At 44.9% G+C, this 20,108-nt stretch overlaps 2 long non-coding RNA genes across 3 annotated transcripts in view, besides 1 other annotated feature; one reads left to right on the top strand and one right to left on the bottom strand.

The window, feature by feature from the left end:
* The first annotated feature begins 2,876 nt into the window (after positions 1–2,876).
* LOC124901922 (uncharacterized) overlaps positions 2,877–20,108 on the top strand; it is a 32,348-nt gene continuing 15,116 nt past the window's right edge. For both annotated transcript variants that reach the window (XR_007060874.1, XR_007060873.1), the window contains exon 1: positions 2,877–2,962. This is a non-coding gene — a long non-coding RNA (uncharacterized LOC124901922). The remainder of the gene's footprint in view (positions 2,963–20,108) is intronic.
* Positions 7,979–8,198: an enhancer, noted in NCBI's record as "active region_27184". NCBI's record gives its function as "activates an Ori minimal core promoter by ATAC-STARR-seq in GM12878 lymphoblastoid cells {active_cell/tissue: GM12878}" and the evidence as "EXISTENCE:reporter gene assay evidence [ECO:0000049][PMID:35858748]".
* On the bottom strand, positions 10,866–18,032 carry LOC124901923 (uncharacterized). The gene is made up of 2 exons (XR_007060875.1): positions 17,629–18,032; positions 10,866–12,154 (listed from the first exon to the last, which is right to left on the bottom strand). It is a non-coding gene; the product is annotated as an uncharacterized LOC124901923 (long non-coding RNA).

Below are 20,108 nucleotides of genomic sequence, written 5' to 3'. Positions count from 1 at the left end.
CTCTATGATATTAGCAGTAATATGTTTTTAGAATATTACTTGAAATAATACAGGGTGTACACACATTTTATACACCCACTGTAATATTATAAGTAATATCTCTTTAGGACATTGACTAATATCACAGAATGTACACCCACTGTGGTATTTGAAGTAATGTGTTGTTGGTTATAATGAGTAATTTCACAGGGTGTGCAACCACTGTGATATTAAGAGTATTATCTGCATAGGACGTTGGGAGTAATATCACAGGGTGTACACATGTGGTGTACACCCACTCTGATTTTAGAAGTAATATCTCCTTAGGGTATTATGAGTAATATCACAGGGTGTACACACATGGTGGATGCCCACTGTGATATTAGGAGCAATATCTCCTTACTATATTATGAGTAATATTACATAGTGTACACACATGGTGTACACCCACTGTGATATTAGGAGTAATATCTTCCAAGTATATTAAGAGTAGCTTCACAGGGTGTACACACATGGTGTAAACCCATTATGATAATAGGAGTAATACCTGTCTAGTATATTATGAGTCATATCACAGGGTATACACACATGGTGTACACCAACTGTGAAATTAGGAGTAATATATCCGTAAGATATTATGAGTAATATTACAGGGTGAACACCCACTGTGATATTAAAAGTAATATCTCCCTATGATATTACTGGTAATATCACACCATGTTCACCCACTATGATATTAGGAGTAATATTTTCCTAGAATATTACTAGTAGTAGTATCACAGGGTGTACACCCACTGTGATATTGTGAGTAATATCTCCTTAGGATATTATGTGTACCACGTGTGTACACCCTCTGTGATATTAGGGGTAATATCTCCCTAGGATGTTATGAGTATTATCATGGGGTGTGCACACATTGTGGACACACACTGTGATATTAGGAGTAATATCTCTCTAGGATATTATGAGTAATATCACAGGATGTAAGCCCATGATATACACCCACTGTAATATTAGGAGTAATATCTCGCTAACATATTATAAGTAATATTACAAGGTGTACGCACATGGTGTACACCCACTGTGATATTAGGAACAATGTCTTTATAGGATATTACATGTAATATCACAGGGAATACACACATGTCATACACCCACTGAGATATTAGGAGTAATATTTCCCTAGGGTATTATGAGTAATATCACAGGGTTTACACACATGGTGTACACCCATCGTGATGAGTCGTATCTCCTTAGGATATTATGAGTAATATCACGGTGTGTGTACACACATCGTGTACACACACTGTGATATAAACAGTAATATCTCTCTAGAATATTATAAGCAATATCATAGGGTTTACACCCACTGTGATATTAGGAGTAATCTCTCTCTAGGATATTATGCATAATATCACAGGGTGTACAAACATGGTGTACACACTCTGTGATATTAGGAGTAATATCTCCCTAGAATATTACAATTAATATCACCAGGTGAACACTTACTATGATATTAGGAATAATATCTTCCTAGGATATTATGAGTAATATCACATTTAATACATACATGGTGTACACCCACTGTGATATTAAAAGTAAAATCTCCTCAGGATATTACAAGTAATATCATACAGTGTACACCTACTTTGATATTAGGAGACATATCTTCCCAGGATATTATGAGTAATATCACAGGGTGTACACACATGTTCTACATCCACTGTGATATTAGGTGTAATATTTCCCTAGGATATTACGAGTAATATCACAGGGTGTAAACACATGGTGTACACCCACTGTGTTATTAGGAGTTATATCTCCCTAGGATATTCCAAGTAATATTACAGGGTGTATACACATTGTGTACATTCACTCTGATTTAGGAGAAATATCTCCCTAGGGTATTACGAGTACTTTTACAGGGTATACACCCAATGTGATATTAGGAGTATGTCTTCCTAGGATATTACATGTAGTATCAACGGGTGTATGCCCACTGCGATATTACGAGTAATATCTCCCTAGGATATTATGAGTAATATCGCAGGGTGTACACCAACTGTGATATTAGGAATAATATCTATCTTGGATATTATGAGTAATATCACAGGGTGTACACCAACTGTGATATTAGGAGTAATATCTATCTTGGATATTATGAGTAATATCACAGGGTGTACACCAACTGTGATATTAGGAGTAATATCTATCTTGGATATTATGAGTAATATCACAGTGTGTACATCCACTGTGATATTAGGAGTAATATCTCCCGAGGATATTAGAAGTAATATTATAGGGTGTCCACCCACTTTGATATTACCAGCAATATCTCCCTAGGACTTTAGGAGTAATATCACAGGGTGTACAGCCACTGTGATATTTGGCATCATATGTTTCTAGGACATTACATGTAATATCACAGAACATATAACCACTGTGATATTACTCATAATATCTGCCTAGGATATAACGAGTAATATTACAGTGTATACACATATGGTGTATGCCCACTATGATATTAGGAGTAATGCAAAGCTTATAGCTTGCAGTGAACGCTAAGAATGAGTTCTCAGACAGTTCCAGCTGAGCGGGGTGGGGGTCGGGGTGACAGCTCTTCTGAGAGAGTGCTACTCCAGCATCGGTCCTCTAAGTATTGAAAGGACTTGTTAAACCACAAACATCCACTAGATGGCCATTTGAGGTCGGTTACTTTAGGCACTTACGGCGTTGTAAAACACTCAAACCGCATTCTCAGGAGGCTGTTTTCAGCGTTCCTTATTACACACTCCACCCCTTGTCCTGTTTTCAGGGTCAAGGAGTTACATTCTTATGCAAAAATAACATACACACAGTGCCTCAGTATTTTTCCATGCCCCGACCTCAAATGCCATGTACGTAAGCTTGAATACGTTGATGTGCACCCCGCCACATCTCCCCCTTCTTCAATTCTTAGAGCGTGCTGGTCATCCAATGCAAGGTAAGGTTCTATCATTCTTCCCTGTTCATAGATGTGCCGGGTGGCAGCACAGAGCCATCTGCAGACACCTAGCAAACAGACACAAAAAAGAGTAAGTATAGCGGCCAACACCCAAATGTGTATGTATTGTTGTACCTGAGCGAGTTAGAGAAAACGCCACACTTGGAGACGAATTAAGAGTCCGTTTATTTAGCCAGCGGCCAAGAGACGGCTAACGCTCAAAGTGCTCTTGGCCCCGAAGAAGGAGCTAGATTTTCTTTTATACTTTGGTTTAGAAAGGGGAGGGGGGGGTCTAGTTAAAACAATTTTACAGAAGTAAAGTAGGCAAAAAGTTAAAAGGATAAGTGGTTACAGGAAAGTAAACAGTTCCAGGTGCAGGGGCTTTAAGACTATTACAAGGTGATAGACCCGGGGCTTTGGGCGTTATCAATCGGACGAATTCCTGGGAACTGTGGATATAGCTTGCCACAGTATCTTATCAGTTAATTGCATTCTTGAATGTGCTGGGAGTCAGCTTGCACAAGGTAAGTCCTTGAGGAAGGGGCTGCCAGTGTAAGAGCCAAGATGGAGTCTGTCTGGCTCTCTTAGCTAAGGGAGAGTCAATTCAGGTGGAAACAAGGCTAGGTGATTAAAGGAAAGGGAGAGTCTAAAAACAGGGTTAGTAAAAACCAGGTTGGGCATTACAGTATCACCCAGACAACCAAGTGTTCATGTTTAACCACAAAGCCCTCTTGTAATTGCTGAAGGGTATTTGCTTGTAATTGCTGCGACCATTCTTCAAGTTGTTTCTTTAACTCACATTCAAGAGTAGAAATTTGAGAAGAAATACGGTTGTGATAAGCCCCTTGCAGGTGTGCTTTCACTCTCTCCCAAGCATATTGGGAGCTATTATATGGCAGAGGTGTGACACAGATAGGATTATATTGCCAATCACAATGTAAATTTTGATGGGTAATGAATGCCTGCTGCTGACCCCCCAGCCATTCAACTGCGGCTTCAAGAGCCTCCAGGTGAGACAGAATAGTTTTATCAATATTTACCTGTTCCTGAAATTCATGGGTTACATTATATACCATGTGGTTCACCACTGAGGCTATGTGAATAGATCCTGTTAGAGAGACAGCTGCAGTAGCAGCAGTTGCTAGTATGATAATAGCTGAGACTAAAAAGTCAATTAAAGTGGCCAGAAATCTTTTTTTCTGAGCATGAGACAGTGCTTTTCTAAATAGCTGCTGGGTGGAATTTCCTTCCCAGCTCCAGGTTAAATTTACAGGCAGCCACATTTCTGCATGCCGTTTTAAGATCATGACGTAGGTTATACTTAACTGTGTAACGTTTTGATAAGACAAGCATGTAGCATACCAAGTACTGGAAGAGACTTTAATACTATAAAAGGTCTGATTCTGTTTTATGTTAGGAACACCTCGCCCAAACAAAAGTATATAGGGGTGCATAGTACAAATCAGGACTGTGTCAGTAACATTATTATGCAAAGAGAGGGTATAGGTGCTGCCCTTAGTAATGTACTCACCATGTGAAAGAACTCATTCAAAAAAAAAAGGAAGTCCTAATCTCCAAATCTGGGTATGAACAGGGCTTAAAGCTTGTTTCCCTTTTAGTTGTAATATTGGTCCTGAAAGCCCATACTCTGACCAGGTGATAGAACTATTGGAGGGACTCCCAAACCCAATATAGTCTGATTTGCAGACGTAAGATAACCATGGGGACCCCAATCAAGTAAGGTGCCATTATTAAACAGAGGCCCTTGACATGGTGCAGATTGTCTGCATGGAGACCACTGGACAGCCTCAAACTTATATCACCAGTCCCCACTCGGACGGCATATAGGAAGATCAGGCACTTGTACAGCTTCATGAGAGACCTTAGTAAGATTAGTAGTAACAGCAGAAATAAAGGTCAAGTTTGCAAGCTTAGCATCCCTTTTAGGCTGATAGTTAAGATACTCCTGAGGAATGAGAGTAACACACTTACCATGTGCTATTGTGGAAAAACAAAGAGGGGATTACTAAACAATAAAATCAAGGAGTCATTAAGTTTAATCCATCCCAAATTTTCAGTTAAGGGGTATGACAGGGACACCTATCGACCTCCTGTCCAAGAAGTATCATTAGATAACAAAGGCAGGTCAGCATCCCACTGTGTAATAACATTAAAAACAAGGGGATTTAGAATATGACTCCAATAAACATGTTCTTGAGCTGATCTCACTTGGCAAAGGACAAGAATTACCAACCAGCCCAACATCTGTGTCTGTCTTACTTTTCTCAGAAGTTTCCCCAATTACCGCCAGTTACATAAGAAACTGATTCTCTGCAGTTGCAGGGGCCTCCACAGCGGCAAGCCGGATAGTTGCCTGTTGGTCCAATTTCTTTAGCGGTCCCCAGGTAATGTCAGGTGCCTTCTGAGTCATCACCGTCATTGTCAGTCAATTCTCCAATGACAGGTCCTATTCTAGAGAAGAGAGCCCCATATTCCCCCTTTTTTGTTTGTTTGATGAGTTTGTTTAATAACTGGTTGAGTTATAAGGAATACCAGTTTTGTGTTGTATGTGCCAAAGTTGCAATACATGTGCAAATCGAGCACTAAGATAGCAAGGTCTATTATCAGTTTTAATAGTTTGTGGAAGACCTAAAGTCATAAGAGATTCAAAAAGATGAGCAATTGCATCTTCAGTTTATTTCTCCAGTCCAGGGGGTAGCATGTATTAAGCCTGTATAAGCGTCTACGGTAACTTGGAGAAATTTGAAACGTCCAAAGGATGGATACTGAGTAACATCAGTTTGCCAAATAACATTAGGCACCAGACCTCGTGGGTTGGTACCAAGCCCTAAGGAAAAGGGGGAAAGAGAATGTCATTGGCAATCAGGACAAGTTTTAATAATCATGAGAGCTTGAGCAAGTGTCAAATGAAACTGTTGTTTAAGACTGTGGGCGTTCTAATGAAAAAAAAAACAATGATCAGCTTGAGCTTGCAAAAAGGCAGGAGACTCTGCAAACCACATCTGTGTTTGTACCAGAGCATCAGCTCGAAGGTTCCCTTCTGATAAGGACTAGATAGCCCAGAATGAGAGCAAATATGTGTGATGTAAAGAGGGTGATGACAGGCACAGAGGAGCTCTTGTGCTGTAAGAAACAAAGCTAGTAGGGTTTCATTAGTAATGCCCTTCGCATGTGCAAGATCTAAATCAGTAATACTACACCACATAAGAGGAATCACTTTATCATCATATTTATGTCATGGTGAGGAAAAGTTTGTAAGGCCAATATGAGGGCACCTAACTCCGCCTGTTGCGTAGTTTTAAAACGTTCCTGGATTTTGTGCTGCCAGTTCTGCGTGGCATCTTGCCACACTATAGTTGCCTTTCCAGTTTTTCCTGAACCATCTGTAAAGACAGAAGTGGCGTGAAGCAAGGGCTCAGAGACAACATAAATACAAATTTAACAGGCACAGTTTGTAAAAAGTTCAGGAGTTTAGAGGCTGGTCAATGAAAGCTGATATTACCAATAAAGTCAGTCATTGCTACTTGCCAATCAAGATCACAAGCTAGGAGAGTATGAAATTGTTTCTTGTTTAACAGTAGGAAAAGAGTAGTGGGGTTATTTTGGCCATATGCCCAGTTAGGCCACAATTATAATACGTGGCCCCAGTCAACATTGCAGCAAAGGTCTGAGCCAGATGGGTTGTAGTGCCTATATTCTGGCACACTTTAATAAACACGCTGATTTCAGTGGCAGTGGCTCGGACTGGAGTTATTGCTGCCTGACAATCCTTATTTGCATTTTCAAAAGCCAATTACAACATAAGAAGTTTGGCAGCTTTAGGATAGGGTGCCTGTTTTTTTATTGCAGCCTGCAATCAGTTGATAAATTCAATGTATGTTTCTGTGGCACCCTGTTTAACTATCATAAAGGAACCCTGGGATTGTCTTATGGGTATTTTTTATGCTTGTATTGTTAGCTGTGAGCATTGAGGAAATAGACGGCTATCTGCCTGAGCCTAAGCCTGAGCCTGAGTTGAAGCAAAAGGCCCTGTTCCCAATAGCATATCAAGTTGCATGGGGATATTATTATCCAAATTGTGTAAGGATTGCTACACGGCTAAATCACTGGACTCACTCCACCACACAGTATATTCAGCAGGTGAAACCAAAAGTTTTAGTAAAGTTTTCCAGTCATGTGGAGTCATCTTATAACCATTTCCCAAAGCCTCAATCATCCCCTGCGTAAAGGGTGAATGTACACCATTTTCATGAATACTTTTCTTTAACTCTTCAAAGGCAGTAAAAGGCAAACTCTCATGACGTCTCCTGTTGTTTTGAACAATAACAAGGAATGCGCCAAAAAGCGCCTCAGAGTCTCCCTTCCGAAGTCCCTCTTGGAGGCCCCCGAGGCCCCCGTCTACTAAGACTGACCGAGGTCTTATCCAAGAACCATCTCTTGGGCGGCCTCCAATCTCCTCAAGGCGGATGGGAGGCGCTGTTGGCTGAATGGGGCCAACGGATGCAGGTCCCTTTAAGGGTGGAGGAAAGGAGGGCAATGACTTTTCTATAGGGGAAGGAAAAGGCTCCGGTCTGTCCTCATCCTCACTAGCAAAAATCTCTTCTTTAGCCCCCATAGAAGGGAATGAAGAGTGGGGAGGAGTCTCTCCCTGTTGTCTTGGTTCCTGTTTTTCCTTCTCCTTTAAATCTCCTGAATTCCCTTCAGGCGGAGAAGATGGGCAGCCTGACTCACCGCAATCCGGCAGAAAAAGAGGCTACAACGCGGAGCGTACCAGCGCTCAGGTGGTCAAAATAGTTAAAATGGCCTTGCTCATATCCTCTTTCCGGGCAGCGGACTACCTGCACCCATAAATAATTCTAAGGTTCCTTGATCAGGAAACAGAGGGCATTCCTGCCGAATTAAAAACAAAAGCTTGTGTAGAGCTCCAGGCTCTACAGTGCACTGGATAGCCTTAAGTAGCTGTTGCACTGTTTTAAAAAAATACTTTCTGTTCTTTGGTCAAATCTTGACCCATGATAACCCAACCCCTGGTAGTTTACGCGTGGATACCGTCCTCCTGATGGGAGTCAGGACTGTCCCTTACCGGGATTCCCCGAAAATTGATGAGTTTTCCAACTTCACGCGTAACTTCAAGGCGATCACACTGGGGGCACCACTTACAAAGCTTATAGCTTGCAGGGAACGCCAAGAATGAGTTTTCAGACAATTCTAGCTGAGCGCGGAGGGGGACAGCTCTTCTGAGAAAGTGCCACCCCAGCATCCGTACGCTAAGTATTTATTGAAAGGGCTTGTTAAACCACAAACATCCACTAGATGGCCATTTGAGATCGGGTCGTGAGACACCCGTAGCCTTGTAAAAGCACTCAAACCGCATTCTCAGGAGGCTGTTTTCAGCGTTCCTTATCACACACTCCACTCCTTGTCCTGTTTTCAGGTCAAGGAGTTACATTCTTATGCACAAATAACATACACACAGTGCCTCAGTATTTTTCCATGCCCCGACCTCAAATGCCATGTACGTAAGCTTGAATATGTTGACGTGCACCCCCACAGAGTAATATCTCCCTAGGATATTCCGAGTAATATCACAGAATGTACTCACATTGTGTACACCCACTGTGATATTATGACTAATAGCTCCCTAGAATATTCTGAGTAATATCATACGGTGTACACACATGGTGTACACCCACTGTCATTTAGGAGAAATATCTCTCTAGGATATTACTACTATTATCACAAGGTGTACACCCATTGTGATATAAGGAGTAATAGCTACCTAAAATATTACGAGTAATATGATAGGGTGTCCACCCACTGTGATATTAGAAGTAATATCTCCGTAGGATATTAAAAGTAATATCACTGTGTGTACACCCAATGTGATATTAGCTGTAATATCGTTGTAGAATGTTACGAGTAACATCACAGCATGTAAAGCCACTATGATATTGGGAGTAATATCTCTCTAGGATGTTTCGTATAATATCAGACAGTGTACACCCACTGTGAAATTAGGAGTAATATGACCCACGAATTTTAAGAGTTATATCACAGAGTGTATGCACATGGTGTACACCAACTGTGATATTAGAAATAATATCTCTATAGGATATTATGAAAAATATCACAGAGTGTATGCACATGGGGTACACCCACTGTGATATTAGCAACAATATCTCCATAGGATATTATATGTAATATCACAGGGAATACACACATGTTTTACACCCACTATGATATTAGGAGTAATATCACCCTGGGGTATTACCAATAATATCACAGGGTGTACACATATAATGTATATCCACTGTGATATTAGAAGTAATATATCTGTAGCATATTATGAGTAATATCACAGGGTGTACACACATGGTGCAAACCCACTGTGATGTGAGGAGCAATATCTCTCTAGGATATTATGAGTAATATCACAGTGGGTGTACACAAATGCTGTACTCCCCCTATGATATTAGAAGTGATATCTCCCTCAGATTTTAAGAGTAATATCACAGTGGGTGTACACACATAATGTACACCCACTGTGATATTGGGAGTAATAACTCTAAAATATTATGAATAATATTACAGGTTGTATACACATGGGATACAGCCACTGTGATATTAGGAGCAATATCTTCATAGGGAATTACGTGTAATATCAAAGGGAATACACACATGTTGCACACCCAGTCTAATATTAAGAGTAATATCTCCCTAGGGTATTACGAGTAATATCTCCCTAGAATATTATGAGTAATATCACAGAGTGTACACCAACTGTGATATTAGGAATAACATCTATCTAGGATATTACGAGTAGTATCACAGGTTGTACACACATGGTATACACCAACTGTAATATTAAAAGTAATATCTCCCTAGGAAATTACAAATAATATCAGATGATGTACACCCACTTTGATAATAGGAGTAGTATCTCCCTAGTATATTGTGAGTAATATCACAGGGTTACACCTGTGATATTAGGAATAATATCTTCCCAGGATATTAAAAGTAACATCACAGGATGTACACCCACTGTGATATTAGAAGTAATATCTCCCTAGGATATTACTAGTAATACTGTGATATTACTACCATTACTTGTAATACTCCCGATATCACAGGGGGTATACACTCCCTCTGTGATATTGTTCCTAATATCCAGTGGGGGAAAGGATGGTATTACTACCAATATCACAAGGGGTGTATACCCCCCTTGTGATATTTTTCCCAATTTCCAATGGGAAAGATGATGATATTACTCCCAATATCTCAGGGAGTGTGCACTCCCACTGTGACATTGTTCCTAATATCCAGGGACAGAGAGGATGATATTACTCCCAATATCGCAGGAGGTGTACGCCCCCTTTGTGATATTGTTCATAATATCAAGGGGGGAGAAGATATTATTACTCCCAATATCACAGGGGGTGTACACCCCCACTGTAATATTGTTCCTAATATCTGGGGGGAGAGAAATGATAATATTACTCCCAATATTGCATTAAGTGTACACCCCCTACGTGATATTGTTCCTGATATAGAGGGGAAGGAGGATGATGTTACTTCCAATATCGCAGGGAGTGTACACCCCCCTTGTGATACTGTTTCTAACATTTAGGAGGGGAGAGGATGATATTGTGTCCGGAATTGGTGGGTTCTTGGTCTCACTGACTTCAAGAATGAAGCCGTGGACGCTTGCGGTGAGTGTTACAGTTCTTAAAGGCAGCGTGTCTGGAGTTTGTTCCTTCTGATGTTCAGATGTGTTCGGAGTTTCTTCCTTCTGGTGGGTTCGTGGTCTCGCTGGCTCAGGAGTGAAGCTGCAGACCTCCGTGGTGAGTGTTACAGCTCTTAAAGGCAGTGTGGACCCAAAGAGTGAGCAGTAGCAAGATTTATTGCAAAGAGCAAAAGAACAAAGCTTCCACAGTGTGGAAGGGGACCCGAGCGTGTTGCCACTGCTGGCTCGGGCAGCCTGCTTTTATTCTCTTATCTGGTCCCACCCACATCCTGCTGATTGGTAGAGCCAAGTGGTCTGTATTGACAGGGCGCTGATTGGTGCATTTACAATCCCTGAACTAGACACAAAGGTTCTCCACGTCCCCACCAGATTAGCTAGATACAGAGTGTCAACACAAAGGCTCTCCAAGGCCCCACCAGAGTAGCTAGATACAGAGTGTCGATTGGTGCATTCACAAACCCTGAGCTAGACACAGGGTGCTGATTGGTGTATTTACAATCCCTGAGCTAGACATAAAGGTTCTCCACGTCCCCACCAGACTCAGGAGCCCAGCTGGCTTCACCCAGTGGATCCCGCACAGGGGCTGCAGGGGAGCTGCCTGCCAGTCCCGTGCCGTGCCCACACTCCTCAGCCCTTGGGTGGTCAATGGGACTGGGTGCCATGGAGCAGGGGGCGGCACTCATCGGGGAGGCTCGGGCTACACAGGAGCCCACGGAGGGCGTGGGAGGCTCAGGCATGGCGGGCTGCAGGTCCCAAGCCCTGCCCCGCAGGAAGGCAGCTAAGGCCCGGCAAGAAATCGAGTGCAGCGCCGGTGGGCTGGCACTGCTGGGGGACCCAGTACACCCTCCGCAGCCGCTGGCCTGGGTGCTAAGCCCCTCATTGCCTGGGCCCAGCAGGGCCAGCCAGCTGCTCCGAGTGTGGGGCCCGCCAAGCCCACACCCACCTGGAACTCCAGCTGGCCCGCAAGTGCCATGCGCAGCCCCGGTTCCCGCTCGCGCCTCTCCCTCCACACCTCCCTGCAAGCTGAGGGAGCCAGCTCCGGCCTTGGCCAGCCCAGAAAGGGGCTCCCACAGTGAAGCGGTGGGCTGAAGGGCTCCTCAAGTGCCGCCAAAGTGGGAGCCCAGGCAGAGGTGGCGCCGAGAGCAAGCGAGGGCTGTGAGGACTGCCAGCACGCTGTCACCTCTCAATCCCCCCTCTAAACAGGACACCCCAACTGCTGTTGGGAATTTGGCCGATGACTGCTTTTGCTACTTCCTGCTGGATAGGGGCGAAGAAGGGACCCTGCAGTTGTAGTGTCCTTCAGAGGGGAACTCTCTAGGCCAGGGGAAGTGCCAGCGGGTCGGTCCATGGGTCCTCGGTAGAAGTTGTTAGTTGAACTCATTTGGGGTTCCATTTGTAAGACCATCTGTAGCTCGAAGGCCTCGATTCTAGAGGAAACAAATTTGACAAGAAGGTTAAAAATACAGGCCCCAAAGGCAAGTAACAGCAAGATGGCTGCCACGGGACCTAGAAAGGGGAGAAGCCATGTTGCCCAACTCCAGAGGTTGTTATAAGAATTTGAAAGGCGTTGTCTGATTTCAGAAGCCTTTCCCTATAAACGCTGGGTAGCATCTCATACTATCCCCGACTGGTTAGTGTAAAAACAACACTCTTCCCCTAAGAAGGTGCAGAGTCCTCCTTTCCCAGCAGTGAGGAGGTCTAGGCCTCGGCAGTTTTGGAGAGTCACTGCTGCCAAAGAGTCTATTTGGGATTGTAAAGTAAGGATAGATTTCGTTATTTCTTGCAAACTGTTTGAGAAGCAGATATGGGTTGAAGATCCACATAAGAAGAATATGCCTTGGCTGGGTAGATAGAAATTTACCCTGGCTTTTAAAGGAATAGGGTACACTGTTTTTTCTTTACTACTTCCATCTCTTTCTCTCTTCGACTTCTTCTTTGTCTCTTCCTCTCTTTTTAACTCTCTCTTTGACTGTGTCTGTCCCTCTTTTTCTCTGACTTCTTCTTTGTCTCTTCCTCTCTGTCTCTTTCTTTGACTTCCTGTCTCTTTCTTTCATTTCTGTTGCCTCTGCCAGCTGCTTATGCCACTGTTCTCCCCTCTCCTTCCCCTTTTGATGGCTTTGTCAGTGTGAGATTCCCACCTCTTTGTGTTTTCGCATTGTGTGCAATAACTCTATAATTTCCTTGTGGTATTTAATGGGGGTTTCCCCAGAGGTTAGGAACTCCCTCTCTTTCCATATTGCAGCATGGGCATGTAGGATTAGATAGCATACTTGCTATCTGTATACACATTTATTCTTTTTCCCTTTCCCAGTTCTAAGGCTCAGGTAAGCGCCACTAGTTCTGCTAACTGGGCCCTGGTCCCTGGGGCAAGAGGCTTACTTTCAAGTATGGTTACATCACTAACTATGGTGTAACCTGTCCTTTGTATCCCATTCTCCACAACTGAACTTCCATCGGTATATAGGTTAAGGTCAGGAATAGTTAAGGGGACATCTAAGAGATCATCTCGGGTGGCATAAGTCTGGACTATAATTTGTTGGCAGTCATGCTCGATTGGTTCCCCATCCTCTGGGAGAAAAGTGGCAGGGTTGAGGGCCACGCACATGCGTATTTGAAGCACCAGTCCCTCAAGGAGTAGTGCCTGGTATCTAAGTAGGCAGTTGTCTGATAGCCATAAACTTCCTTTGGCACCTAGTATGCCATTTACATCATGAGTAGTCCAGACAGTGAGATCCTTTCCTTGTATTATTTTGCTGGCCTCTGACACTAAGACAGCCACTGCTGCAACTACCCTTAAACAGTGAGGCCAGCCTTTTGCTACTACATCAATTTCCTTACTTAGGTATGCCACTGGTTGTGGGGTTGTCCCACGAGTCTGAGTGAGGACTCCAAGAGCTATCCTGGCTCTCTCTGTGACGTATAAAGAGAAGTTCTGTCCTGTGGGAAGGCTTAAAACTGGAGCTTGTACTAAGGCCTGCTTTAAGGCTTTGAAGGCTGTTTCTGCCTCTGGTTCCCATTCTACTAGATGAGTATTTGCCCTCTGGGTTTCCTTGATTAGACTATAGAGGGGCCTGGCTATCTCGCTGTATCTGGGGATCCATAGTCGCCAAAAGGCGGTAATTCCAAGGAACCCCCTCGACTGTTTTAATGTCTTAGGGCAAGGATAAGCCAGTATAGGCTGTATTCGTTCCTTGCTGAGGGCCCTGGTCCCTTTGGCTAAGATTAGGCCTAGATATTTAACCTGCTGTAGGCAAAGCTGGGCCTTCGACCTAGACACCTTGTACCCTTGATTAGCTAGAAAGTTCAAGAGATCTAGAGTAGCCTGCTGGCACAAGGCTTCCGAACTGGTAGCCAAAAGTAAATCATCCACATATTGAAGGACCAGAGTGCCTAGACTTGAGAAGTGGCCTAGATCTCAGGCCAGTGCCTGACCAAACAGATGAGGGCTATCCCTAAACCCCTGGGGCAAGACCATCCACATAAGTTGGGACGTGTGGTCTGTGGGATCCTCAAAAGCAAAGAGGAACTGGGAATCAGAGTGCAGGGGAATACAGAAGAAGGCATCCTTGAGGTCCAGAACCATGAACCATTCTGCTTCCTCTGGTATTTGAGAGAGCAGGGTATAGGGGTTGGGTACAACTGGATATAGTGGAATTACTGCCTCATTGATGAGTCTAAGATCTTGCACTAGTCTGCACTGACGATTGGGTTTTTGTACTCCCAGAATTGGGGTGTTGCCGGGACTGCTGCATTTCCTTACTAAGCCTTGAGCTTTCAAATGTTTAACAGTATTCTGTAATCCTTTATGAGCTTCAGGCCTTAAGGGATAAGGAAAAGTGGTGGGATCTTTTAACCTGATTTGGACTGGGTGGGCATTTTTTGCCCTTCCAATTTGTCCTTCCAATGCCCAGACTTCAGGGTTGATTCCCTCCTCAAGTAGGGGACAACAAATGGGTAATTTGTTTCCCATATTCACGTAGATAATAGCTCCAGCCTTGGCTAATATATCCCTCCCTAATAAGCGTGTGGGACTTTCAGGCATAACAAGAAAGGCATGTGAACAGAGCAAAGTCTCCCAATTACAACTGAAGAGGTGGGAGAAATACCTGGTTACAGGCTGTCCCAGGATTCCTCGGATGGTAACAGACCTTGAGGACAGTTGTCCAGGACAGGAGATTAACACTGAGAAGGCCGTGCCACTGTCCAGGAGGAAGTCAATTTCCTGGCCCTCAATAGTTAAACATACCTGGGGCTCAGTGAGGGTGATGACATGAGCTGGCGCTTGCCCCAGGCACCATCAGTCCTGTTGTTGGATCATCTGGTTGGGGGCTTCTGACCCAGGGAACCTTCATCCTCTGGGGCAGTGCACCTTCCAGTGATTGCCTCAGCATAGTGGACACGGACGAGGGGGCAGCTTGTTTCTCATTGGACAATCTTTTTTAAAGTGTCCTAGTAAACCACACTGATAACAAGCCCTACCAGGTGATTGGCCTGCTCCATTTTCTGTCCTCTCTGAACCACCAAGGTTTGTTTGTCTGCGGGCCATGACTAAGGCTGCAGCCTTTCTCTGATCTCGCTTTTCCTTTTGGGCCTGTTCCTCTTGGTCCCTATTATAGAACACCAAGGTTGCCAGGTTTAATAATGCCTCTAGATTTTGTTCAGGGCCCAGGGCTTGCTTTTGGAGCTTTCTCCTGATATCTGCGGCTGATTGGGTAATAAACTTTTCTTTTAGAATCAATTGACTCTCGAGTAATTTAGGTGACAGGGGAGTATATTTTCTTAAGGCCTCTCATAGCTGCTCGAGGAAGGCAGAAGGATTTTCTTCCTTTCCCTGAGTTTTGGTGGACATCATTGAATAATTCATGGGCTTTTTTCTAATTCTCCTTAGTCCTTCTAGAACACAGGTCAACAGATGTTTATGACTCCAATCCCCATGATCTGCATCAAGGTCCCAGTGGGGATCCATACTGGGGATGGCTTGCTGACCAGTAGGGAATTTGTCCCTTTCTTCGGCTGTCATTCTATCATTTACTTGACTAAGATACCAGGTATCTCCAAACTCTCGGGCTGCAGCTAAAGCCACATTCTTTTCATAAAAGGCCAGGGTTTGATCTAACAGTAGCATGACATCTCTCCAAGCGAGGTCAAAGGTTTGCCCTAGACCCTGTAGGACATCTATGTGCCTATCAGGATCATCTGAAAACTTCCCCAGGTCTGCCTTGATCTGCTTTAAATCAGAGAGGGAGAAGGGGACATGTACCCGGGTTGGGCCAAATTCCCCTGCCCCTATAGCTTGAAGGGGACATAATCGATAGCCCAGGGGTTTTTGTGGACCTTTGGAGATTTCTTTGCTTATTTCCTTCTGGGCAGGGGAGATTAGAGGAGGCTTATCATTAATAGGAAGGGGAGCTATAGGGAGACTAGGATATGTGGGTAAGCTGAGAGGTCCTCCTATGGGATGTAAATTGCAAGCTTTGCATAGTTGTGTATTCTCCCTCAATGAAAAGAAAGCTTGGACATAAGGTATTTCATTCCATTTGCCTTCCCTCTTACAGAAAAGATCAAGCTGCAGGATAGTATTGTAATTTGTACTTCCCTCAGGTGGCCATTTTTCCCCATCAGAGAGAGAATATTGGGGCCAAGCCATAGTGCAGAAAAAAATGAGCGGCCTCTTTTTCAGGGTTTGTGCATCAAATTGGTCCCAATGGCTTAGGATGCATTTCAAGGGGGAGCCTGTTGATGCCTGAGTGTTTCCCATCTGAAAGACAAAACTGCCCACAGTTTTGGTATATTTTGTTTCTCCCCCTGCCCAAGAACCCACAACGGTCCCTGGACCCTGCTGATCAGAATAGTTGCACTCACAGACACAGCAGCAGAAACACTAGTTTTCCTCCCAGACCACATGGAGGACTGAGGAAGGTCAGATTTAGTGGTCCTTACTGACGCATTCTCAAAAACCTGCACCCTTGCCTGTCCTCCTAGACCACAAGGAGGACCGACCAAGAAAAATTGGATTTAGTGGCCCTTACAGACGCATTCTCGAAAAGCTGTTAGAGTCCTATGCATTCTCCTGTTAGTATTGGAACTTTACCCCTGTCCTATAAAGATGTTATGCCCCAAAAATGAAGTGGAGGGCCATACCCTGAGGGAGGGAAGGGATCTTCAGGGTTGGAAGAGTGACACCTTTTGTCCTCATTTATATGAATAGGGAGGATACAATTTCTGAGGCTCCCCATATCCTAACTTCAGGAATAGCTTTTGTTAGACCTGTTAGTCTGAGGAGGGATCCTAAAATTCCAGGTAGTCCCCACTACAATGGGGCTTTGGGCAAAAATTATGTCTTTCTGATTGGTGAGCCCAGGTGCCTAAAGAAGGTAACAGAGTCCTGGAGTTTATACTAGAAATCATTCTTATAGGAGAAACTAGAAAAGCACGAGAGACAGGTAGCAATTTTTAGAAGCGGGACTAACCTCAGAGAAGAGAGGCGAGAGGAAGTTTGTCTCACAGGCATTAGGACCCAGGGGGCAAAGGTCAGGATAGATAGGATAGATGGGCAAGTCTCGCTTGGGCAACATGCCTTTGAGAGTTCCACTCATGGCCGCAGGGTCAACCAACTTGTTGTCGGGACCCTGGAGCTGCATGGCTTTCCTCTCTGTCGACCCTCGGCTCAGCCCAGAAGTACAGGAAAAGCAGAAGCTGGTTCTAGGCAAACCAACAGTCCCAACTCTGAAGAGTCGGGGGTTGTTAGAGAGCCCTTTCCCAGAAAGCCTGACACCCATGTCTTTAGTCAGTGGCCATGCTAGTCACTTTTAACTGGCCGACAGATGCCCGGTATTTAGCCCCCGAATTCTAAGGAAAGATAGGACAGAAGAGCAAGCGAAAGGGGTCTGGTGGTACTCACTGCTTGGCGATAGGTGATTGTCTCACTGCTCAGCGATAGGCAATGGTCTCACCGCTTGGCGATTGGTGAAGGTCCCATCTGGGTCACCAAAATGTGTCCAGAATTGGTGGATTCTTGGTCTCACTGACTTCAAGAATGAAGCCACGGACCCTCGCAGTGATTGTTACAGTTCTTAAAGGTAGGGTGTCTGGAGTTTTTCCTTCTGATGTTCAGATGTGTTCGGAGTTTCTTCCTTCTGGTGGGTTCGTGGTCTCGCTGGCTTGGGAGTGAAGCTGCAGACCTTCGCGGTGAGTGTTATGGCTCTTAAAGGCAGTGTGGACCCAAAGAGTGAGCAGTAGCAAGATTTATTGCAAAGAGCAAAAGAACAAAGCTTCCAGTGTGGAAGGGGATCCGAGCAGGTTGCCGCTGCTGGCTCGGGCAGCCTGCTTTTATTCTCTTATCTGGTCCCACCCACATCCTGCTGATTGGTAGAGGCGAGTGGTCTGTTTTGATGGGGCACTGATTGGTGCGTTTACAATCCCTGAACTAGACACAAAGGTTCTCCACGTCCCCACCAGATTAGCTAGATACAGAGTGTCAACACAAAGGCTCTCCAAGGCCCCACCAGAGTAGCTAGATACAGAGTGTCACTTGGTGCATTCACAAACCCTGAACTAGACACAGGGTGCTGATTGGTGTGTCTACAATCCCTGAGCTAGACATAAAGGTTCTCCAAGGCCCCACCAGAGTAGCTAGATACAGAGTGTCGATTGGTGCATTCACAAACCCTGAGCTAGACACAGGGTGCTGATTGGTGTATTTACAATCCCTGAGCTAGACATAAAGGTTCTCCACATCCCCACCAGACTCAGGAGCCCAGCTGGCTTCACCCAGTGGATCCTGCACAGGGGCTGCAGGTGGAGCTGCCTGCCAGTCCCACGCCGTGCGCCCGCACTCCTCAGCCCTTGGGTGGTCAATGGGACTTGGGAGCCATGGAGCAGGGGACGGCGCTCATCAGGGAGGCTTGGGCTGCAGCGGAGCCCATGAAGGGCGTGGGAGGCTCAGGCATGGCGGGCTGCAGGTCCCGAGCCCTGCCAGGCAGGAAGGCAGCTAAGGCCCGGTGAGAAATCAAGCACAGCGCCGGTGGGCTGGCACTGCTGGGGGACCCAGTACACCCTCCGCAGCCGCTGGCCTGGGTGCTAAGCCCCTCATTGCCCAGTACCGGCAGGGCCGGCCGGCTGCTCCGAGTGTGGGGCCCACCAAGCCCATGCCCACCGGGAACTCCAGCTGGCCCGCAAGCACTGCACGCAGCCCCGGTTCCTGCTCGTGCCTCTCCCTCCACACCTCCCTGCAAGCTGAGGGAGCCGGCTCCAGCCTTGGCCAGCCCAGAAAGGGGCTCCCACAGTGCAGCGGTGGGCTGAAGGGCTCCTCAAGTGCTGCCAAAGTGGGAACCCAGGCATAGGAGGCGCCGAGAGCGAGCGAGAGCTGTGAGGACTGCCAGCACGCTGTCACCTCTCAATATTAACAGCCTATATCGCAGGAACTGTGCATCCCCCTCATGATATTGTTCTTAATATCTGGAAGGAAAAGATGATCTTACTTTCATTATCGCAGGGGGTGTACTCCCCTCCCCGTGATATTGTTCTAATATCCAGGGAGAAAAAGGATGATGTTAACAACAATATCGCAAAAGTTGTACACATCCCCTGTGATATTGTTTTTAATATGCAGGGAGGGAGGAAATGATATTACTCCAAATATCGCAGTGGGTGTACACCCCCCCAGGATATTGTTCCTAATATCCTGGTGGGGGGAGTATGATATTACTCCCAATATTGCAGGTGGTGTACATTCCCCCTGTGATATTGTTCCTAATATCCAGGAAGAAAGAGGATGATATTACTCCCAATATTGCAAGAAGTGTATGCCCCCCTGTGATGTTGTTTATAATATCCAAGGGGAAAGAGAATAATATTACTCCCAATATGGCATGGTGTTGACACCCCTCCTGTGATATTTTTCTAATATCCAAGTGGGAAAATACAAAATTTCTCCCAATATCGCAGGGAGTGTACACCCCCACTGTGATGTTTTTTCCTAATATCCAGCCGGGGAGAGGATGATATTACACTCAATATTGCAGGGTTTGTACACCACCCTGTGATATTGTTCCTAATATCACGAGGGGGGGACGATGATATTACTCCAAATATCGCAGGGGGTATACAACCCCCGTGATATTGTTTCTAATATGCAGGAAGGGAGAAGGATATTACTCCCAATATCACAGAAGGTGTACACCCGGCCTGTGATATTGTACCGAATATCAAGGGAGGGAGATGATGATATTACTCTCAATATCGCAGTGGGCTGTACACTCCCCTGTAATATTGTTCCTAATATTCACTGGGAAAGGTGACGATATTACACCTTATATTGCAGTTAGTGTACACCACCCCTGTGATACTTTTTCTAATATTCAGGGGTGGGGGAGGATGATG

This window comes from Homo sapiens, chromosome 8 (assembly GCF_000001405.40).
Source record: "Homo sapiens chromosome 8, GRCh38.p14 Primary Assembly".
Lineage (NCBI taxonomy): Eukaryota > Metazoa > Chordata > Mammalia > Primates > Hominidae > Homo > Homo sapiens.
The sequence above is the reverse complement of the archived record's forward strand: the minus strand, read 5'-3'. Positions and strand labels throughout refer to the sequence as shown.